Below are 23,821 nucleotides of genomic sequence, written 5' to 3'. Positions count from 1 at the left end.
TAAAGAACAGTGAGGGTTGGGCGCAGTGGCTCACGCCTGTAATCCCAACACTTTGGGAGGCCGAGGCAGGCGTATCACCTGAGGTCAGGAGTTCGAGTCCAGCCTGGCCAACATGGTGAAACCCCATCTCTACAAAAATACAAAAATTAGCCAGGCATGGTGGCGGGTGCCTGTAATCCCAGCTACTTAGGAGGCTGAGGCGGGATAATCGCTTGAACCCAGGAGGCGGAGGTTGCAGTGAACTGAGATTGTGCCACTGCACTCCAGACTGAGCGACAGAGTGAGACTCCCTCTCAAAAAAAAAAACAAAAAAAAAAACAACAACAACAGTGAGGAGACATGAAGAGGGATGGATTTAAGGGGCATTTATTTATTTAGTCTACAAAATTAACCTGGTCATCAACGGGTTTTATGGGTGACAAAAAAAATCCAAGATGACTCCAAGGTTTCTGGTTTAGACAACTGTTGAACAGATAATTCACAGATGATAATTCACAGATGATAATCCCAAAGGCAGAACGGATATACAAAGGAAATAAAAGATGAGAGAATTATGGTATTTGGTTCAGTTTAAGGAGCAGGGTGTTTAGGAGTTAGAGGAGGGCAGAAGATGGAACCCTGGGGAAACAGCAACATTTAAAAGGGCAGGAAAGGTAGAGAATAAGGGCCAAGGGATTACTCAACAGTCCGCTCTCCAGGTCTGCCTGGCTCAGATCTATATAAAGAAAAGGAGCAGGGAATGAAGTAAAACTGTTACAGGAAAGGGGTCCCAATCCAGACCCCAAGACAGGGTTCTTGGATCTCACGCAAGACAGAATTCAGGGCAAGTCCACAGTACAAAGCAAAAGCAAGTTTATTAAGAACGTAAAGTGGTGAAAGTACAGCTACTCCACAGACAGAGTAGGGCATTCCCGAAAGTAAGAGGAGGAACGCGTCCACCCTAAGTACAACACTTAGTTTATATATAGGATAAAAAAAGATCATGGGGAGATGTGCTTTGCTACAAGGGTTTGTGATAAAGGATTAATTACTATATTATGTAAGAATCGATATTATCTTTATTTATGAGACAGAGTCTTACTCTGTCGCCCAGGCTGGAGTGCAGTGGTGCAAGCACGGCTCACTGCAACCCCCGCCTCCCGGATTCAAGCGATTATCCTGCCTCAGCCTCCAGAGTAGCTGAAATTCGAGGGCATGTGCCACCACACCCGGTTAATTTTTGTATTTTTAGTAGAGACGTTTTCACCATGTTGACCAGGCTAGTCTTGAACTCCTGACCTCAAGTGATCCGCCCGCCTCGGCCTTCCAAAGTGCTGGGATTACAGGCGTGAGGCACTGTGCCCAGCCCAATATTATTATCTTTAAAGCAAAATTAGGAATGCTTCTGTTCTCAAAATATCGGGATATCTGGACACTTGGTAGTCTGGGTCTGTGTAGTAAACATTATCAATCTGTTGCCTTAATGGTATACACATCTAGAGGCTAGGAATACCTAACTTCCCGGGAATGCAGCCCAGCAAGTCCCAGCCTCATTTTCCTAGCCCTCACTCAACACAGAGTCGCTCTAGTTCGAACCCCTCTAACATATTCTCTCTCAGGTGTGAAAATTGCTGCAGCAGTTCGCTATTTGCAACACAGCACATGGAAATCACAGCAATGGAGAGCCTTCAGAAAAGCTTCTGGGGAGGGACAGCCTGGTGGCTCAACTCCTGTAATCCCAACCCATGGGGAGGTCGAGATGGGAGGATCCCTTGAGCTCGAGTTCCAGACTGACCTGGGCAACGTGGGGAGACAACGCCTCTATTTATTTAAAAAATTACATATATATATATATATATACATACACACACACATATATACATACACACATATATACATACATATACATACATATATATAAAACGCTTCTGCGTTGGCAATTGAGATGATTTGGCGAGTGTGTCTTTTTTCATTGCTAAAAATCTGTCACGTTGGCTCTCACAGAAACTTGTGATACCTGAAGACACAGGTAATGGGATAAAGATTAGCACTCTGGGAAAAGGTTCCACAATTTTATTAATCATACACCATCTGTGTCCGCCCTTTTAAAGAAATGGGCGCAATCAGCCAACGACCTCGGCTTTACACCTGTTCTCCAAGAGGCCCTAGTTGTTCCCTACTGTAAGCTGCCCCAGAAAAGGTCCGCATCAATTAACCCACGGGAACAGCCCGGGGCTGGAGGATGCCCCAGGAATCCGGCCTCCCGCCGCGCCTCCTCCCCCCACAAGCAGTTCCTTCCTGCCTGCCGGAAGCTCAGGGCTCCGCCCACTTCGGCAACTCTGAAGCCACCGCCGGAAACACCTGGCCTCAGCCAATAGTTAGCTTCCCAGGAAACGTTACCTCTGACCTCGGGGCTAATCAGAGACAGTGGGACGCACCCCTCGCGAGAGGTGAGGTTGAAGCTGCCTCCGCCATCTTGGAGATGGGAGACGGGCGATGGCTGTGGTCCTTCTGCTAATGCAAACAACAAAACGGGCACACTAGTCACCCCCGAGGGAGGCCACCATCACTGTAACTGTTGGCCAAAGCTACAAAAGAAGCGAGGGAATCCAACCGAGCGCAGCGACACTGAGAACAGCTTCCCCTGCCTTCTGCGGCGGCAGAAGTGAAGTGCCTGAGGACCGGAAGGATGGTGCAGTCCTGCTCCGCCTACGGCTGCAAGAACCGCTACGACAAGGACAAGCCCGTTTCTTTCCACAAGTGAGGACCCTGCGCGCCTCGCGGGGCCGGTCTCAGCCGGGGTGGGGGCGCGCGGCCGGCGGGGCCGGGGGCGGAGCCAGGCGCGTGTCCGCGCGAGGGGCGGGTGGGGTCTGGGGCCGGCCGTGTCGGGCGTTTCCCACCGCGTCCCGCTGGGAACCGCCGCCCGATCGCGCGTTCTCGGCGCGCGTCGCCGCGGCAGCCGTTTCTCGCGCTCCTGGAACAGGCCCTGGTTGCAGGCTTCGCTCACGGCCTGGGTTGACGCGTTCGGAGCCCACGGGCGATGCCTAGGGTGGCGCGGGTTTTGCCACCACCAGGGTCACAGAGCAGCCAGGTGTTTTAATATGGTCTTAGGGGTAAATTTAAAATAGAAACAAAGGCCTTTAAACGAAGAAATCACTACTTTTCGCCCTTGCCGTGGATGGGAGGCCAGCATCGTAGCAATTAAGGGTTTTTTGGCTGGGAAATCAGGGAGAATTTTTGCCCCCAATCTCTAGGAACTAAGCTTTAAGGACCCTGTATTTTGGAGAAAGCTTCAGGTACTGCCGAGATAAATCGTTATCTTTTCAGCACACAATAATGATAATATGGACAGTTACAACATGGATCATAATAAAATGACTCACACGGATCTTTATTTATTATGGCATTACCTGTGCATAGAGAAAGCTCTTTCGAAAGAAACTGCCCCACAGCTTTCAGAGCTGTCTTATCCAGTAGGTAGCACAGTTAAGTGATAGGATCAAAAATATTCTCTTGAAAATAGGAAAAAAGTGCAGAGTTGTAATTACTTATGATAAACGCTTGTAAAATGTGACATAACATTTTCATTCAGCTGAATTTGTTTACAAATTTTAATTACATTTATGTTAAGTTTTCTTTGCAAGAATTCCTGACAGCTATACGCAGATGATAGGTAAGAAATCAGATCCAGGGGTAAACTATACAGATTAGCCATAGGTAATTAGCTAATTATCTTTTATAATTAGGTAAATAATTACAAAAGCAAAATGTTAAATATCTTTTCAGTTAATTTATTTTTTTGCTGTGGGGCCATCTGTGTTTACTAGGGGAGTGTCCATGCATTTTTTAAATATGTTTGATATCATGTGAGATGGACCCTATAGAAATAAGAGTGTGTAGAACATAGAGAGGTCTCCAGAGTAATAATGTTACCCCTTGGAGAAGGGGATAGAACACTTAGAGGATTCAGTTCAGGATATCCTAATATTATCTCTTGATTTAATTGGAATTTCTGTAAACATGTTCTTTCTAAATGTAGGGAAAGGTCAGGTGATGGTAACAGGATTACATGCCCAGCTCCCCACCCACATTTCTGATGGCTTGGCAGAAGGAATCTAAAATTATGGAAAATGTTTCATTGGCACTGGAAACTAGTTTAAAGAGGGTATTCACACGTCGGAAATAACTGTTTTTGTCGAGGCACGATGGCTCATGCCTGTAATTCCCAGCACTTGGGGAGGCCAAGGTGGGCGGATCACCTGACGTCAGGAGTTCGAGACCAGCCTGGCCAACATGGCAAAATCCCGTCTCTACTAAAAATACAAAATACAGGCGTACGCCTGTAATCTTAGCTACTTGGGAGGCTGAGGTAGGGGAATCACTTGAACCTGGGATATGGAGGTTGCAGTGAGCTGAGATCTTGCCCTGCACTCCAGCTTGGGTAACAGAGTGAGACTCCATCTCAAAAAAAAAAAAAAAAAAAAAAAAAGATACAACTGTTTCTGCTAGATGTTAAGCAGATATGGATTGAATCAAAAGAAGGGCTAACCTGCATCTTATCCCTTATCTAAAATAGCAGGTTTAGGGAGAGTAGATGGGAAAGATCTTAAGAGAATCTCACAAACAGCTGTAAATTTGTTGTCCTTGAGCCAGGAGGCCCTAGGTACTGAATTTTACCAGCAAATGCTACCATAGTTTATACTTACAGAGCCAGGAGGCCATAGGTACTGAATTTTACCAGCAAATGCTACCCTAGTTTATACTTATAGAGGCCGTTCCAGTTGAGATTTTCTTTCTTTTTTTTTTTTTTTTTTTTTTGAGATGGAGTCTTGCTCTGTCACCAGGCTAGAGTGCAGTGGCACGATCTCAGCTCAGTGCAACCTCTGCCTCCCGAGTTCAAGTGATTCTCCTGCCTCAGCCTCCCAAGTAGCTGGGACTACAGGTGTGCACCACCACGCCCAGCTAATTTTTGTATTTTTAGTAGAGACAGGGTTTCACCATGTTGGCCAGGATGGTCTCCATACTTCGACCTCCTGATCCGCCCTCCTCAGCCTCCCAAAGTGCTGGGATTACAGGCCTGATTACAGGCCATGCCCAGCCCCAGCTGAGATTTTCTAGGAGTACCACTTCTCCCACCCTCTACATAGTGGCAGCGGAGAGTGCTATGTCGTACAAAGAAAAGGGACTGTCATAAAGATCTCTTACTAGCAGAGTCAGGCTCTAGCATATCGTACATGGAAGAGAGACTGTGAAACATAAATTTGAAATTCCCTTCCCTTTTTCTTTCTAATCCCCCCAGTTTACCAAATTCTTAACTTGGAAGAGTAAAATTACCACAATAAATGTAAACTCTCACTATCCCCGTTTACCTGGGCCTAATGGACATCCCAGTTGATTAGAAAATAAATTCTTTCGTTATTATCTGCCTTTAATTCAAATTTAGCCTATTCATATTTGTCAGACTGATGCTAAGAGAACTAGAAGCCCCTTTTTCCCAGTACGCAGATACAAATGTGCAATCTTTGTCTCTCTGTGCAGCACACAGAAAATTACTGGTAAAAAATATGAATACAGGTTATTTTTTTCTTTTTGAGACGGTATGGCTCTGTCACCCAGGCTGGAGTGCAGTGGAATGATCTCAGCTCACCGCAGCCTTGACCTCCCAGGCTCGAGCAGTCCTTCCACCTCAGTCTCAGCCTCCTGAGTACCTGGGCACATACCACCATGCCCAGCTAATTTTTGTGTCTTTTGTAGAGACAGGGTTTTGCCGTGTTGCCCAGGCTAGTCTCGAACTCTTGGACTTAAGTAGTCCCTCGGACAGTGGCCTCCCAAGTGCTGGGATTACAGGCATGAGCCGTGGGCACATTTACTCTATAGTATGTATTTTACCTGAATCTTTTGGTGAACTCAGTATAAAAAGTTAAACGTTAATGAATGAGGGCCAGGCACAGTGGCTCACGCATGTAATTCGAGCACTTTGGGAGGCCAAGGCGGGCAGATCACAAGGTCAAGAAATCGAATCCATCCTGGCCAACATGGTGAAAGCCCATCTCTACTAAAAGTACAAAACTTAGCTGGGCGTGGTGGCGCACGCCTGAGTCCCAGCTACTTGGGAGGCTGAGGCAGGAGAATCGCTTGAACCTGGGAGGCGGAGACGCAGTGAGCCGAGATTGCACCACTGCACTCCAGCCTAACAACAGAGCAAGACGGCATCTCAAAAAAATTTTTAAAAAATTAATAAATGAGATAAATAGATAACTAGAGCTAATCTTTAATCCAATAGGATAATACAATTGTAACATCTTTAATACCAATGTAAGATATTTCCTAAGCTGGAAAGTTTGGGTGCCTTTATTTATTTAAAAAATCAGGACAGATAATTGAATTATGCCTTCTTCTTAGGTTTCCTCTTACTCGACCCAGTCTTTGTAAAGAATGGGAGGCAGCTGTCAGAAGAAAAAACTTTAAACCCACCAAGTATAGCAGTATTTGTTCAGAGCACTTTACTCCAGACTGCTTTAAGAGAGAGTGCAACAACAAGTTACTGAAAGAGAATGCTGTGCCCACAATATTTCTTTGTACTGAGCCACATGACAAGGTAATATGCATTTTAAAATATTGGGTTGCTTTTTGTTTATCAAACTGATGTGTTCATTGATTAAAATGTGGAAAATTGAGTTAGTGTTAAGAGAATAAATGTGCCTGGAACCTTGTAGTTAACAGTGATACACTTCTGAAAACACAAAATGCAGTTTATTAAAGATAAATATCCTCACACTAAGAAACTTAGTCCAGCTTTGTAACTTAGTTAAAAACCACTCTGTACTGCCAGTTATATATTGATAAGTTTTGGGTTTTCTTTATCAGTGACAGTTTAGTTTCAAAGCATTTTTTTCTCCTCAGTGCTTAATATTTAATTAGATCTGATGATTCATTTTGTCTCTTTCCTGCACCGTCCCTCTACTTCAGGTAGAAAAGTTTATTCAAACTGAAACTGTTTTCTCATTTTGGAATGTTTCTATACCACTGATTCCCAAAAAAAGTCAGTATTTCTTAAATTCCACAGATTCTTTTATTATTTATTTATTTATTTATTTTTTGGAGACAAAGTCTTTGTTGCCCAGGCTGGAGTGCAGTGACATGATCTTGGCTCACTGCAACCTCCGCCTCCCAGTTTCAAGCAATTCTCTTGCCTCAGCCGCCCAAGTAGCTGGGATTATAGGCGTGCACCACCACATCTGGCTAATTTTTGTATTTTTAGCAGAGACAGGGTTTCACCATGTTGGCCAGGCTGGTCTCAAACTCCTGACCTCAGGTGATCCGCCCACCTCTTCCTCACAAAAGTACTAGGATTATAGGCATGAGCCACTGCGCCTGGTCAGTCCACAGATTCTTTTAAACTGTTTTTAGTTACTAAATTCAAACATACTTTGTATTTTTGTTTTAGAAAGAAGATCTTCTGGAGCCACAGGAACAGCTTCCCCCACCTCCTTTACCGCCTCCTGTTTCCCAGGTTGATGCTGCTATTGGATTACTAATGCCGCCTCTTCAGACCCCTGTTAATCTCTCAGTTTTCTGTGACCACAACTATACTGTGGAGGATACAATGCACCAGCGGAAAAGGATTCATCAGCTAGAACAGCAAGTTGAAAAACTCAGAAAGAAGCTCAAGACCGCACAGCAGCGATGCAGAAGGCAAGAACGGCAGCTTGAAAAATTAAAGGAGGTTGTTCACTTCCAGAAAGAGAAAGACGACGTATCAGAAAGAGGTTATGTGATTCTACCAAATGACTACTTTGAAATAGTTGAAGTACCAGCATAAAAAAATGAAATGTGTATTGATTTCTAATGGGGCAATACCACATATCCTCCTCTAGCCTGTAAAGGAGTTTCATTTAAAAAAATAACATTTGATTACTTATATAAAAACAGTTCAGAATATTTTTTTAAAAAAAATTCTATATATACTGTAAAATTATAAATTTTTTTGTTTGTAATTTCAGGTTTTTTACATTTTAACAAAATATTTTAAAAGTTATAAACTAACCTCAGACCTCTAATGTAAGTTGGTTTCAAGATTGGGGATTTTGGGGTTTTTTTTTAGTATTTATAGAAATAATGTAAAAATAAAAAGTAAAGAGAATGAGAACAGTGTGGTAAAAGGGTGATTTCAGTTTAAAACTTAAAATTAGTACTGTTTTATTGAGAGAATTTAGTTATATTTTAAATCAGAAGTATGGGTCAGATCATGGGACATAACTTCTTAGAATATATATATACATATGTACATATTCTCATATGTAAAGTCACAAGGTTCATTTATCTTTCTGAATCAGTTATCAAAGATAAATTGGCAAGTCAGTACTTAAGAAAAAAGATTTGATTATCATCACAGCAGAAAAAAGTCATTGCATATCTGATCAATAACTTCAGATTCTAAGAGTGGATTTTTTTTTTTTACATGGGCTCCTATTTTTTCCCCTACTGTCTTGCATTATAAAATTAGAAGTGTATTTTCAGTGGAAGAAACATTTTTCAATAAATAAAGTAAGGCATTGTCATCAATGAAGTAATTAAAACTGGGACCTGATCTATGATACGCTTTTTTCTTTCATTACACCCTAGCTGAAGGACATCCAGTTCCCCAGCTGTAGTTATGTATCTGCCTTCAAGTCTCTGACAAATGTGCTGTGTTAGTAGAGTTTGATTTGTATCATATGATAATCTTGCACTTGACTGAGTTGGGACAAGGCTTCACATAAAAAATTATTTCTTCACTTTTAACACAAGTTAGAAATTATATCCCATTTAGTTAAGTGCGTGATTTATATTCAGAACAACCTACTATGTAGCGTTTATTTTACTGAATGTGGAGATTTAAACACTGAGGTTTCTGTTCAAACTGTGAGTTCTGTTCTTTGTGAGAAATTTTACATATATTGGAAGTGAAAATATGTTCTGAGTAAACAAATATTGCTATGGGAGTTATCTTTTTAGATTTAGAATAACTGTTCCAATGATAATTATTACTTTTATATTTCAAAGTACACTAAGATCGTTGAAGAGCAATAGAACCTTTAAGACAGTATTAAAGGTGTGAAACAATGGCATTCAAAGTGTCTTTTGTAGAACTGGTTTTCATTGTAGTTCACTGCCATGCTGCCAGTGGATAGCACTGTGATTCATGCATATTTGATGTTTTATGAACCAGTATCTCAAAAATAGAAATAATGATTAGAAGATTACTTGAAGTTGGGCGGGGCGCCATGGCTCACGCCTGTAATCCCAGCACTTTGGGAGGCCGAGGCGGATGGATCACAAGGTCAGGAGTTCAAGACCAGCCTGGCCAATATGGTGAAACCCCGTCTCTACTAAAAATACAAAAACTAGCTGGGCATGGTGGCGAGTGCCTGTAGTCCCAGCTACTTGGGAGGCTGAGGCAGGAGAATTGCCTGAACCCGGGAGGTGGAGGTTGCAGTGAGCTGAGATTGCGCCACTACACTCCAGCCTGGGCAATAAAGCAAGACCCCGTCTCAAAAAAAAAAAAAAAAAAAAAAAAAGATTACTTGAAGTTACATAGTCTGATAACATCATTTAGAACTCATGCTGATCAGTCAGAAGGCTTTTACAGATTATTCATGGAACTCGAAGCTACAAAGTATTCAAGAAGTTTGGTTTTATATGTCATCTTTCTAGCAATTCCTGGAAGTACTCAGGAATATTTAGATTTATTCCTGAATATTTTGAAAAGTATATACCTTCGGCCGGGCACAGTGGCTCATGCCTGTAATCCCAGCACTTTGGGAGGCCAAGGCGGGTGGATCACCTGAGGTCAGGAGTTCAAGTCCAGCCTGACCAACATGGAGAAACCCTGTCTCTACTAAAAATACAAAATTAGTCAGGTGTGGTGTCGCATGCTTGTGATCCCAGCTACTTGGGAGGCTGAGGCAGGAGAATCGCTTGAACCTGGGAGGCAGAGGTTGCAGTGAGCGAGGGCGGTGCCATTGCATTCCAGCCTGGGCAACAAGAGCGAAACTCCGATCTCAAAAAAAAAAAAAAAGAAAAGTATATACCTTCAATCTAAGTACTCTTCTACATAAAAGACAAATTCTATGTGTGTGTCCCAGAATGAAGAATCCAGGTAAGATTATAAAAATGGAAATCATAATTACTTAGCATATTAGCATTATTATTTAACCTCAAGCTACTTTCTTTTCATAACAGACATAAATCCCCATTTGGAGAGAACTGAGCAAGCAGCATGTACACCAACTGCTTTCATTTAAATAATTTATCATAGTAAACAGAAGTTTGAGGTGCAGGTACTTATTTCTGAATTGGCTATTGTTTATAACATTGCCAAGAAAAGGAGGTCATTTAGGTAAAAATAGGTTCTGTTCAGGCATAGTAAACAGTCTGACATAAACAGGGACAAAGACTCAATTTTTTTTTTTTTGGAGAAGGAGTCTCGTTCTTGTTGCCCAGGCTGGAGTGCAATGGCGCTATCTGGGCTCACTGCAACGTCTGCCTCCCGGGTTCAGGGGATTCTCCTGCCTCAGCCTCCCGAGTAGCTGGGATTACAGGCATGCGCCACCACGCCCAGCTAATATTGTATTTTTAGTAGAGACGGGGTTTCTCCATGCTGGCCAGGCTGGTCTTGAACTCCCGACCTCAGGTGACCAGCCTGCCTTGGCCTCCCAAAGTGTTGGGAATACAGGCATGAGCCACCGCGCCCAGGCGGTCTCAATCTTTTAATACTGCCTTATAATGCAAATATAAAGGTCACCTGAATTGCTACTTGGCTTGAATTAGCACATTCCAATTGAAGTTTTAAGTTTTTAAAAACTAATTTAAATGTTTACTAATTGTATAGAAGTGTACTAAAAATAATTCTGTTGTTGCAAAACTTTGTACTTGGAAATCCAAGTACATGAGGGGATTTTTTTTCTTTCAACTATAATTTATGTGATCCCTTTCTTAGAATTATAACAATAATGGTGATGGCAAATGAAAGTTTCACATGATACGGGCTCTTTAGCTTGCATTAATATTCCCTGATCATCTTTTAATGCTAAAAAAAAAAATACATGTGTGGCCAGGCGCGGTGGCTCACACCTGTAATCCCAGCACTTTGGCAGGCAGAGGTGGGCCGATCACCTGAGGTCAGGAGTTTGAGACCAGTCTGGCCAATACGGTGAAACTCTGTCTCTACTAAAAATACAAAAATTAGACTGGCGTGGTGGTGCGCGCCTGTAGTCCCAGATGTGCTCAGGAGGCTGAGGCAGGAGAATCGCTTGAACCTGGGAGGTGGAGGTTGCAGTGAGCCAAGATCACGCCACTGCATTCCAGGCTAGGCGACAGAGCAAGACTCCATCTCAAAAAAAAAAAAAAAGTATACATGTGTACACATACCCAACACTATAGCTTTTAGAAAGTTGATAGTAAACAACATATTTTAAAATCCATTTGTGTTCCAGAATTTTAAAAAGATAGTCCACCCTGAATAGTATTTAAAGAAAAAGAATAGATTTTCCAGCTGATGGTAACTGGTGTTGCTTGGCATTATGATTTTATATAGTCTTGTGTTTTAAAAGTACAGTCACTCACATGAAAGAAAAATATTGAAGAGCAACAGTGCTTTGCAAATAAGCAAAACTATTACACTTAAAAGTAATAGAAAAATTTGCTCAAGGTAATGTTCTCTTATAATTCTGTCTTTTTAAAACTTGGATATAGCTTTATTCTACTGAGATTTTTCTGAATGATAAATATTTTTTAAATTAAAAAGCTGTTGAATTTTTATTCTCTTTAAATTCATGGCATTTTATGTCTTGAGATTATAAAAATTTTATTTTTAAAATATCCTAAAGGATACAAATAAACGTCATTGTTTTAGTTTTTGGTAAAACTGTAGAATACAAACAATAATTTAATAGAAAAATGACTTCCAGAGTGTATTGGCAAGAAAAAAATTTTTTTAAATAACCATTTAAAGTCTCTGCCAGTTGTCCTAAGGGAATATAGCAAATGAAGAAATGATAAGGAAAGTTTACTAAATCTCCATAAGAACATTGAGTCTGTGGCATTTAGGCTACAATCCATTTCTCCCTAACCAAACCCCTGCCCCAACTCAATGCTATAGAAGCTCTACTCTGAGGCTCCACTCAGTCTTCTTGGATATGGTCAAGAAGATCGTACTCCTTAACTCCCAATCAAGGGCTATGGTATCTTTCAGGGAGGGGCTGGTTGCCAGTATTCTCACGTCCCTCTAGCTTTGTGTTGCAGAGACTAAATTCCAGGAGGGTCCAGCCAAGAGGTCAGGGACTCCCTACACCCAACTTCCACTCTAGGTGGAGGCTTTACCATAGGTATGGCAGGCCAAGACACAGGGCCTTGATCACCCTCTCCATACCTCACTCAAGATGGATTTTCCATGCCAGAAGTAAGCCAAGAACACCAGAGGCTATTGTCTCAACTGAGCCCATAAAGCAGGCATGTAACTCCCAGAGAGTCAGGCCGCTTTCCTCACTCCTAGCTCCAGAGTGTAATGCCCAACCTTGTTTTTTCCTTATTCACCTGGCCTTGTTTCTCCCTTAGCTAAGAGAACCAGACAAACTCCATCTTGGCTCTTTCACTGGCAGCCCCTTCCTCAAGGACTTAACTTGTGCAAGCTGACTCCCAGCACATCCAAGAATGCAATTAACTGATAAGATACTGTGGCAAGCTATATCCGCAGTCCCCAAAAATTCATCTGATTGATAATGCCCAAAGCCCCGTGTCTATCACCTTGTAATAGTCTTAAAGCCCCTTCACCTGGAACTGTTTACTTTCCTGTAACCATTTATCCTTTTAACTTTTTTGACTACTTAACTTCTGTAAAATTGTTTTAACTAGACCCCCCCATCCCCTTCCTAAACCAAGATATAAAAGTTAATCACGCCCCTTCCTCGGGGCCGAGAGAATTTTGAGCGTTAGCCGTCTCTCGGTCGCCGGCTAATAAAGGACTCTTAATTCATCTCAAAGTGTGGCGTTTTCTCTAACTCGCCTGGGTACAAGAAGAGCAATGACTCAGATTTTCCCAAGGGAGATGCAGGTTATAAGAACAGAGAGCTCTGGCCGGGCGTGGTGGCTTACGCCTGTAATCCCAGCACTTTGGGAGGCCGAGGCGGGCGGATCACAAGGTCAGGAGATCAAGACCATCCTGGCTAACACGGTCAAACCCCATCTCTACTAAAAATACAAAAAATGAGCCAGGCATGGTGGCAGGTTCCTGTAGTCCCAGCTACTCGGGAGGCTGAGGCAGGAGAATGGTGTGAACCCGGGAGGCGGAGCTTGCAGTGAGCCAAGATGGTGCCACTGCACTCCAGCCTGGGCAACAGAGCGAGATTCTGTCTTAAAAAAAAAAAAAAGAATAGAGAGCTCTGAAGCTATTTCCAAAGCTATTTCCAAACTGACAATTGGAACACTGTGGGAAAGTTCAACCCTAAGGATGCTGTCAAAAACAATGGAGAATTTAGTGGTAAGCAATTAAGAGGAAGTTAGTAGCTCCACAACAACAGCTAAATTGTAGGCTAGTAATTAACCAGAAAGAACCAGAGGAGGAGAGAGCTAAGAAGGGCCCTCCTGGGGTCAGAGGCCATCACAGTGGCTCACACCTGTAATCCCAGCACTTTGGGGAGCCAAGGAAAGCGGATCACCTGAGGTTGGGAGTTCGAGACCAGCCTGACCAACATGGAGAAACCCTGTCTCTAGTAAGAACACAAAATTAGCCGGGCATGGTGGTGCATGCCTGTAATGCCAGCTACTCGGGAGGCTGAGGCAGGAGAATTGCTTGTATCCAGGGTGCGGAGGTTGCAGTGAGCCCAGATCTCGCCATTGCACTCCAGCCTGGGCAACAAGAGCAAAACTTTGTCTAAAGAAAAAAAAAAAAAGAAGGGCCCTCCTGGGGTCAGATCAGATAACCCCTGCAAAGGGGCCCAAATTTAATAGGATCACACTGTGGAGCAATTCATGCCTTGGGGCATTGTCAAAAACAATAGAGAAATCAACTGGAAATTGGAGGCTTACAGCTGAGTGTGATACCAACAAAAGCAGTTAGCAAAATAAGCAGTCAAAGACAGACCTGCTGAAACTACTGTTATCCCTGGTGACTACATGTATACCTAAGCCTGCACCTTTTAAGGAATGAAATCAGAGACGTCACACTGAAGAAGATATAAACTTAATTAGTGCAGCCAAGTAATGAAATAAAGGAGCAGACAGGGCCAGGCACAGTAGCACATGCCTGAAATCCCAGCACTTTGGGAGGCTGAGGTGAGCAGATTGTTTTAACTCAGAAGTTTAATACCAGCCTGGGCAACATGGTAAAACCCTATCTCTACAAAAAAACAACAAAAAAAATTAGCCAGGTGTGGTGGCTCACGCCTGTAATCTTAGCACTTTGGGAGGCTGAGACGAGCAGATTGCCTGAGCTCAGGAGTTTGAGACCAGATGCAGTGAAACCCCATCTCTTCTAAAATACAAAAGAAATTAGCCAGACATGGTGGGGTGTGCCTGTAGTCCCAGCTACTCAGGAGGCTGAGGCAGGAGAATTGCTTGAACCCGGGAGGCGGAGGTTGCAGTGAGCCAAGATCGCACCACTGCACTCCAGCCTGGGCGACAGAGCAAGACTCTGTCTCTACAGAAAAAAAAAAAAAAAAAAAAAAAGGAAGAAGCTCAACAGTAGTTCGAGATGGCAGAAGAAAAATCAGTAAGCCTGAGGTAGAGATCATGCTATCTGAAAAACAGAAAAAAAAAGAAGAAAAATGAACAGAGCCCCAGAGAAATATAGGACTCCATTAAACACACCAAATATGCTTAATGAGAGTACCAGAAGAAGAGGGGCAGGGGGAGAGCAGAAAAAATACTTGAAGAAAAAACGACTAGAAATTTCTCAAGTTTGATGAAAAAGCACAAACTCAAGAAGCTCAATAAATATCAAGCAGAGTAAATGCAAAGAGATCCACTCCCAGACATAATAGTAAAAAATGCTGAAAACCAAAGATAAAAATTTGAAAGCAGTAAGAGAAAAATGACTAGTTCCAAGGGCAACAAGATTAACAGCTGACTTTCTCATTAGAAAAAATGGAGGCCAAAAGGCAGTGGATGGCATATTCAAGGTGCTGAAAGGAAAACTCAATCAAGAATCTTATATGTAGCAAAATTATCTTTCAAACATGATGGTAAAGGGGGCTGATTCTGGGAAGATGATGACAGAGTAGGAAGCACCAGAAATCTGTCTCACTACCTACACTACAATGGGACTGGCAAAATTTGATGTAACTATTTTGGAACTCTGGAGTCTATTGAAGGCTTGCAACTTGTAGGGGTAAGGCTTGGATTACAAACTGTGATTAATTTTGGTCAATTTCAGCTCTTGGCTTGGTGGCAATTACCCATCTCCCATTCATAGCCCCATGGCAAGTAGTGCACAAGCTACAGGAGCAGCTTGCATGTGACTTGACTTGTGGAAGCCAAGGTGGGCAATATCCAAAATTCAAATATCAGTATTAATGTCTGATCACTGATTGCTGCTTAGATCATGGACATGCAAACACAGGTGAACAGCCATTGTTACATCTACCCCACAGACAGTTGCAAGCCCCTTCCCCTTTAGCTAAAGCAACTTCCAGGGAAGTTAAAGGATTGGTGTCTTCCCCTCACTCCCTTCGTTTTTCTTTTTGTACCCTTTTGAGAGCCAGGCATTAAAGACTAGGGCATTCAAAAACAATTGCACATATGAGGGGGAATTAGAAAGTCACTGTGCATAGTCAGAGAAGGGTGCAGGTTCAGAAGAGACCTGAGAATATGTTAAGTTTACACCTCAGGCTAATGCTTGCCACAGAGACAGCTTAAAACCATAAAAGCCAAAACAAGACAACAATAACAACCAACCTTGGAGAGGGGAGAGAACCTGATTTCCATGGTTTACCACACCATAAAATTCAAATGTCCTGTTTTCAACAAAAATCACAAGGCATACAAACAGGCAAGTATGGCCCATTCAAAGGGAAAAAATAAACCAACAGCAACTATCACTTAGAAAGACCATATGGCATACCTATTAAACAAAAATGTTAAAATAATAGTATTAAAGATACTTAGAGGAAGCATCTTTATTTACTTATTTATTTATTTTTTAGACAGACTCTTGCTCTGTCCCCAGGCTGGAGTGCAGTGGCGTGACCTTGCCTCCCAGGTTCAAGCAATTCTTCTGCCTCAGCCTCCTGAGTAGCTGGGACTACAGGCGTGTGCCACCATGCCCAGCTAATTTTTTTGTATTTTTTGTAGAATTGGGGTTTCACCATGTTGGCCAGGCTGGTCTCAAAACTCCTGACCTCGTGGTCCACCTGCTTCAGCCTCCCAAAGTGCTGGGATTACAGGTGTGAGCCACCGTGCCCAGCCTAGGAAGTATCTTTAATGGAAGACATGAAGAAAGTGAAGAAAATGATGTATGAACAAAATGGAAATGTCAATGAAGAAATAGAAAACCTTAACAAAACAAAACAATTCTGGTGCTGAAAAATATAAAAACAAATAAAAATTCACTAGAAGAATTTAAATTTGGGCAGGCAAAAGAATCAGTAAACTTGAGGATGGGACAATTGAAATTATCAAGTCAGAGTAAGAGAAAGAAAAAAGACTGAAGAAAAGTGAACAGAACCTAAGAGACCTGTGGGACACCACCAAAGGGATCAGTGTGCACTTTATGGAAGTCCCAGAAGAAGAGAGAGAGAAAGGGGCAGAGAAATTATTTGAAGAAATAATGGCTGAAAACATCTCAAATTTGATGAAAAACATGAATAGAAACATTCAAGAGACTCAATGAATGTCAAGTAAAATAAACTCACAGAGACCCCACTGAGACTTTACAGTCAAACTAAATCATCTTAAAAGAAATCATCTTAAAAGAGCAAGAGAAAAACAATTCATCACATGTAAAGGATCTTCAATAAAATGATCAGCATATTTATTGACAGAAACTTTGGAAGCCAGAAGGCAGTGAGCCAATATATTCAAAGTGATAAAAGGAAAAAACTGTCAACCAAAATCTCTAGAGAGAAAAATCAGGACATTTCCAGATAAACAAAAGCTGAAGGAGGGAGTTTGTTACTACTAGACCTGCCATACAGGAAATGCTGAAGAGAGCCCTGCAGGTTGAAATGAAAGTACCCCAGGCACGGACTTGAAGTTGTATGAAGAAAAAAAATCTCAGTAAAGGTACATGGGCAGAAGCTGGTATTGTAAAAGCTGATATTGTTGTAACAATAGTTTGTAAGGCCACTTTTTGTTTTGTACATTATTGAAGAGACTAATACATTTAAAAGAAGATGATTATTAGTCTAAAGGCTAGTATTATTGTAACTTTGGTTTGTAACTTCACATATGTTCTGTATAATTTAAGAGACTAATGCATTAAAAATAATTAGTTTTTATTTTTAGACACACAATGTATAAAGATGTAATTTTGAGACATCAATAACTGAGGATGGAACTGTAACAGAGTAGAGTTTTTGTATGGATTAAAGTTAAGCTGAGATAAAAGATGACATAAATCAAATTAGAGTGTTATAACCTTACAATGTTAAGTGTAATCCGCAAGGTAACCACAAAGAATATAGTTATAGAATTATACACAAGAGAAAATGAGAAAGGAATTAAAATATTTCACTATTAAAAAATCAACTGAACACCAAAGACGATTCTAATGCAGGAAATAAGGGACAAAAAAGCTATAAGACATTTATAAAACAAATAGCAAAATGACAGAAGTAGGTCCCTCCTCATCAATAATTACTTTAAATATATTGTATTGAACTTTCTAATCAAGAGACAGAGATTAGAAGAATGGATTTTTTTTAAAAAAAGAACAAGACCCGGCTGGGCCCGGTGGCTCATGCCTGTAATCCCAGCACTTTGGGAGGCTGAGGCGGATAGATCACCTGAGGTCAGGAGTTTCAGACTAGCCTGGCCAACATGGTGAAACCCATCTCTACTAAAAATACAAAAATTAGCCGGGCATGGCGGCAGTCGCCTGTAACCCCAGCTACTAGGGAGGCTGAGGCAGGAGAATTGCTTGAACCCGGGAGGTGGAAGTTGCAGTGAGCCAAGATTGTTCTATTGCACTCCAGCCTGGGCAACAAGAGTAAAACTCCGTCTCAAAAATAAAAACAAGACCCAAGACCCAACTACATGCTACCTGTAGGAGACTCATGTTAGGTCCAAAGACACAAACAGGTTAAAAGTGAAAGGATGGAAAAAGATATTTCATGCAAATAGTAATCAAGATGAGCTGGGGTGGCTGTATTAACAGAAGATAAAATAGACTTTAAATAAAAAAGTTACAAGAGACAAAGCAGGTATTATATATTAATTAAAAAGTTTAATACACCAAAAGACATAGCAATCGTAAACATTTTTGCACCTAATAACAGACCACCAAAGTATATGATACAAAAATTGGCAGAATTAAAAGGAGAAACAGACTGATCTACAAAAATGAAGATTAAGTAGAAACATTCTCAGAAAAAGAAAAATAGAATCTGTTGTTAGCCAACCCACCTTAAAATAAATACTAGAGGAAGCTCTTCAGGCTGAAAGCAAGTGACACCTAACAGTAATTCAAAAAAGCAAAGATTGCCAGTAAAGATAATTATGTAGGCTGGGCAGGGTGGCTCACGCCTGTAATCCCACCACTTTGGGAGGCCGAGGCGGGCGGATCATGAGGTCAGAAGATCGAGACCATCCTGGCTAACACGGTGAAACCCCGTCTCTACTAAAAATACAAAAAAATTAGCCGGGCGTGGTGGCGGGCGCCTATAGTCCCAGCTACTCGGGAGGCTGAGGCAGAAGAATGGCGTGAACCCGGGAGGCGGAGCTTGCAGTGAGCGGAGATTGCACCACTGCACTCCAGCCTGGGCGACAGAGCGAGACTCTGTCTCAAAAAAAAAAAAAAAAAAAGATAATTATGTAAATAATTATGAAAGACACATAGCTGCATCTTTTTTCTTATTTAAAAGCAACTGCAAAAACTGTATATATAATTTTAGTGTTAGGCCTGTAACATAGAGAAATGTAATATGTTTGATAGTAAGAAGCAGATGAGAAGCAAGCTGTACTGAAATAAAGAAAGAACACCAGATGAGAACTTAAATCTATAGGAAGAAATGTGGAGAAACAAATAATAAATCAAAAATTAATTAAACTATAAATACATACTTGTGGCCCGGTGTGGTGGCTCACGCCCGTGATCCCAGCACTTTGGGAGGCCAAGGCGGGTGGATCACAAGGTCAGGAGTTTTGAGACCAGCCTGGCCAACATGGTGTAACCCCGTCTCTACTAAAATACAAAAAGTCAGCCGGGCGTGGTGGTGGGCGCCTGCAGTCCCAGCTACTCTGGAGGCTGAGGCAGGGGAATCACTTGAACCCAGGAGGCGGAGGTTGCAGTGAGTCAAGATTGCGTCACTGCACTCCAGCCTTGGTGACAGGACTAGACTCCGTCTCAAAAAAAAAAATTAAAAAATAAATACATACATACTTGCTCACCCTTTTTTTGAGCTTCCTCAGAAGACATAAAATTATTACAATAATTATAAAAATGCATTATTGGTTTGTAACATGTAGATGTAACATGTATATTAATAATAGTACAAAATGGGAGAAGAGGTAGTGGAACTATATACAGCAAAATATCACACTGGTAAGTTGAAGTAGATTATAATAAGATATATATGGTAAGCCCTATAGCAACCACTTAGAAAATAAGTCCAAAGTGTAGTGAAGAAAATCATTAAAATAATTAAAATATTAAACTAGAAATGTTTACTTAATGTAAAAGAAAGCAGTGAAGGAAGACTAGAGAAATAAGACATGAGACTAAAAGGCAAAATGGCAGATGTAAATCCAGCTATACCAATAATAGCATCTAATGTGAACTGATCTAATCAAAGGGCAGAGACTGTCAGACTGGATATTGAAAAACGAGCTCCAATTATATGCTGTCTGCAGGAGACACACTTTAGCCTTATGATAAAAATAGGTTGAAAGCTAAAGGATGGAAATGACATACTATGCAAACAACAACTAAAACAGATGTGAAGTGGGTATGGCAATATCAGGCAAAATAGGCTTTTAAAAATGTTATTAGAGGCCGAGCACAGTGGCTCACGCCTGTAATCCCAGCACTTTAGGAGGCCGAGGTGGGTGGATCACTTGAGGTCAGGAGTTCAAGGCCAGCCTGGCCAACATGGTGAAACCCTGTCTCTACTAAAAATACAAAAATTAGCTGGGCATGATGGTACGTGCCTGTAGTTCCAGCTACTTGGGAGGCTGAGGCAGAAGAAATGCTTGAACCCGGGAGGCAGAGGTTGCAGTGAGACGAGATCATGCCACTGCACTCCAGCCTGGGCAACAGAGTGAGATTTTGTCTCCAAAAAAAAAAAAAAGAGTAAACAAGCAAGAAACGTGGAAGAGCATGTTTTCTCATACAGGTAGTTCTAAATTTTGAGACTCCGCCTTAAAACAAAACCAAATAAAATAAATAAATAAATGTTATTCGATATAAAGGGAATTTTGTAATGTTACCAGAGTCAATCTATCAGGAAGATATAAGAATTATAAGCACATATGCAACTAACAATAGAGCCCTGAAATACATGAAGCAAAAGCTCACAGAAATGAAGGGAGAATTCAACAAAAATTGAACAACAGCTGAAGACATCAGTACTCCACCTTCAATATTAGATATAACAACTAAGCAGGAGATCAATAATGATAGAGAAAACTTTAACTGTGCTATAAACAAAATGGATCTAGCCAACTTCTATAGAATATTGCACCCAACCATAGAGAATATATATATTTTTCAAGTCACATGGAGCATTCTCCAGGATAGACCACATACTGGGTCATAAAACAAATCTCAGTAAGTTTGTTTTTTTTTTGAGACAGAGTCTTGCTCTGTCGCCCAGGCTGGAGTGCAGTGGCTCAATCTCAGCTCACTGCAAGCTCCACCTCCTGGGTTCACGCCATTCTCCTGCCTCAGCCTCCCAAGTAGCTGGGACTACAGGTGCCCACCACAACGCCCGGCTAATTTTTTATATTTTTAGTAGAGACAGGGTTTCACCGTGTTAGCCAGGATGGTCTGGATCTCCTGACCTCATGATCCGCCCATCTCAGCCTCCGAAAGTGCTGGGATTACAGGCGTGAGCCATCGCTCCCGGCAAATCTCACTAAGTTTTAAAGTATTAAATCATATAATTCAGGGGTCCCCAACCCCAGGGCCACAGATGGATACCAGTCTGTGGCCTGTTAGGAACCAAGCCACACAGCAGGAGGTGAGTGGTGAAGCGAGCAAGCATTACTCCCTGAGATCCACCTCCTGTTAGATCAGTGGGGACATTAGATTCTCATAGAGGCATGAACCCTGTTGTGAACTGTGCATGTGACGGATTTAGGGTCCATGCTTTTTATGAGAATCTACCTAATGCCTGATGATCTGAGGTGGAACAGTTTCATCCCGAAACCATCCCCCACTCCCAGTCCATGGAGAAATTGTCTTCCAAGAAACTGGTCCATGGTGCCAAAAGGTTAGGGGCTGCTGACATAATGTATATTCTCTGACCACAATGGAATAAAATGAGAAATCAATAACGATAAATTAGATAAACTCACAAGAAAGTGGAAATTTTAAAACACGTTTAAACAACCAATGGGTCAAAGAAGAAGTCACAAGAGAAATAAGAAAATACTTTGCCATAGATAAAAATGAAGACACAAAATACTAAAACTTCTGGTATGCAGCTAAAGCAGTGCTTTGAGGGAAATTTGTAGCTGTAAACACCTATATTTTTAAAAAGAAGAAAGATCTCAATAACCTTAAGACACAGAAAAAAGAAGAACAAACTCCTTTTAAGGTGAAGGATGAAGTTGTTGCTTCTGATCCTTCCTACAACCAAGAATGAGGCACAATGCCTAGTTGGCCTATTTAGATTTTTGGAGGCAACATATTCCTCATTTGGGTGTGTTATGTTGGGTCATTCACGAGTGATCCAAAAATCTGCTAGTTTTGAGTAGTATCCAGAATAGGAGAAAGCTCTGCAACAGGTCCTGGCTGTTGTGCCAGCTTTGCCACTTGGGCCATATGATCCAGTGGATCTAATGGTGCGTGTGGTGTCTGTGCCATATAGGGATGCCGTCTGGAGACTTTGGCAGGACCCCATAGGTGAATCACAGTGCAGGCCTTTAAGACTTTGGAGCAGGGCCCTGCCATCATCCACAGATAAATACTCTCGTTTTGAGAGACAGCTCTTGACCTGCTAATGGGCTTTAGTAGAAACTGAATGTTTGACCATAGGCCGCCAAGTTACCATGCAACCTGAGCTGCCTATTATAAACTGGATGTCATCTGACCCACTAAACCATAAAGTTGGGCATGCATAGAAGAACTTCATTATCAAATGGAAGTAGTATAAACATGATTGGGCCCAAGCACGTCCTAAAGGCACAAGTAAGTTATATGAAGAAGTGACCCCAATGGTTCCTATTTCCAGTTCCTATTTCTGCTACACTGCCTTCTCTCTCCCAGCCTGGGCATTTGGCCTCAAGGGAAGTACCCTATGATCTTTTGACAAAGGAAGGAGAAGACGTGCACCCGGTTTATGGTTCTGTGTGATATTCAAGTACTAGCTCCCAAGTAATTGGGATTACAGGCACCCACCACGACGCCCGGCTAATTTTTGTATTTTTAGTAGAGAAGGGATTTCACCATGTTGGCCAGGCTAGTCTCAAACTCCTGACCTCAGGAGATCTGCCCACCATGGCCTCCCAAAATGCTGGGATTACAGGCATGAGCCACTGTGTCTGGCCCATAAACTTTCTTAAAACTTTTTTTTAAAGCTTATCAGCTATCATTAGTGTTAGTGTATTTTATTTGTGGCCCAATACAATTCTTCTTCCAATGTGCCCCAGGGAAGCCAAAAGATTGGACACCTTGTGCTAGATATATATGGTGAAGAAAACCATGCTTATCATATATGGCAGCATTCTTTATAAAAGCAAACAATCTGGAAAACCAGGGCTTAACTAGGGTTTCAGACTCTTAAGAATAAGAAATGGTTACACATTTCTAATATGCCGAATTCCAGCTTTCCCTGAGGAAGTATTTTAAATACTAGAAGCAATTTGGAAATGACTTTGTGAACTTATTTGCACAAATTTCAGGACATGTGGAAAGTTTACAAATATTTGTGCAAAGTTGAGTAACATTTAAGAGCCTGATCTCCAAACACTCACCATTTCTTGGTGTCATTTTCTACCAAAACTTCTGTTGGGGCCCTTTCATCTAAAAGCTGCTCTGCTGGCAGATGAATTATGCATCTGGGGACAGAGAACTGGATTTTCTGTTCTGTACTAACTCCTCAGGGAAGTTTTCCAAGGTTGAGCTGCAAGCTGTACACCCTTGAACTTGCTTCTAATTCTTTGCAGAATAGGCTCACAGCTATGAAAAAACATGAGTTTAGTTCATTCATAAATGGACACACACAAAACCTGGGGCAAAGAATTGCCCTTCCCCATCTTCAATGCACTGAAAACTTAGTCTACATTTTTAGATCATGTCTAGAAAATGTCAATGTCAAAAAAAATTCCTCATTCACAAAGATGTTCTAGAGGCTAAAACACATGGATGACAAATTCAAATTTTAATATATACATCATCTTTTTTTTTTTTTTTTTGAGATGGAGTCTCGCTCTGTCGCCCAGGCTGGAGTGCGGTGGCGCGATCTCAGCTCACTGCAAGTTCCAC

At 41.6% G+C, this 23,821-nt stretch overlaps 1 protein-coding gene and 1 long non-coding RNA gene across 3 annotated transcripts, besides 3 other annotated features; one reads left to right on the top strand and one right to left on the bottom strand.

Moving 5' to 3' along the window:
* Positions 351 to 2,829, bottom strand: LOC124901940 (uncharacterized). The gene is made up of 2 exons (XR_007060901.1): positions 2,380 to 2,829; positions 351 to 1,996 (listed from the first exon to the last, which is right to left on the bottom strand). It is a non-coding gene; the product is annotated as an uncharacterized LOC124901940 (long non-coding RNA).
* Positions 2,055 to 2,845: an enhancer, noted in NCBI's record as "OCT4-NANOG-H3K27ac hESC enhancer chr8:42698061-42698851 (GRCh37/hg19 assembly coordinates)". NCBI's record gives its function as "activates a minimal SCP1, AML or CMV promoter by ChIP-STARR-seq in naive H9 embryonic stem cells {active_cell/tissue: H9 hESC(naive)}" and the evidence as "EXISTENCE:reporter gene assay evidence [ECO:0000049][PMID:30033119]".
* Positions 2,360 to 2,719: an enhancer, noted in NCBI's record as "active region_27318". NCBI's record gives its function as "activates an Ori minimal core promoter by ATAC-STARR-seq in GM12878 lymphoblastoid cells {active_cell/tissue: GM12878}" and the evidence as "EXISTENCE:reporter gene assay evidence [ECO:0000049][PMID:35858748]".
* On the top strand, positions 2,438 to 9,089 carry THAP1 (THAP domain containing 1). Of its 2 annotated transcripts, NM_018105.3 has the most exons (3): positions 2,438 to 2,739; positions 6,382 to 6,577; positions 7,427 to 9,089. In NM_018105.3, exons 1-3 carry the CDS (start codon positions 2,669 to 2,671, stop codon positions 7,799 to 7,801), a joined length of 642 nt encoding a protein of 213 aa, NP_060575.1. In that variant the 5' UTR covers positions 2,438 to 2,668; the 3' UTR covers positions 7,802 to 9,089. The 2 variants fall into 2 exon arrangements, with proteins under 2 accessions (NP_060575.1, NP_945354.1); NM_199003.2 differs by lacking the exon at positions 6,382 to 6,577.
* Positions 2,750 to 2,839: a silencer, noted in NCBI's record as "silent region_19158". NCBI's record gives its function as "represses an Ori minimal core promoter by ATAC-STARR-seq in GM12878 lymphoblastoid cells {active_cell/tissue: GM12878}" and the evidence as "EXISTENCE:reporter gene assay evidence [ECO:0000049][PMID:35858748]".

The sequence above is a fragment of the Homo sapiens genome, chromosome 8, assembly GCF_000001405.40.
Source record: "Homo sapiens chromosome 8, GRCh38.p14 Primary Assembly".
In the NCBI taxonomy this organism is placed as follows: domain Eukaryota; kingdom Metazoa; phylum Chordata; class Mammalia; order Primates; family Hominidae; genus Homo; species Homo sapiens.
Note: the sequence above shows the minus strand (reverse complement) of the source record. Positions and strands in the feature narration are given on the sequence as shown.

Bases quoted from the DNA above. Each gene is read 5' to 3' on its own strand.
- THAP1 (NM_018105.3), top strand. From the start codon at position 2,669: ATGGTGCAGTCCTGCTCCGCCTACGGCTGCAAGAACCGCTACGACAAG. The intron at 2,740-6,381 runs GTGAGGACCCTG...CCTTCTTCTTAG, and splicing joins AAGCCCGTTTCTTTCCACAA to GTTTCCTCTTACTCGACCCA. The intron at 6,578-7,426 runs GTAATATGCATT...TTTTTGTTTTAG, and splicing joins GTACTGAGCCACATGACAAG to AAAGAAGATCTTCTGGAGCC.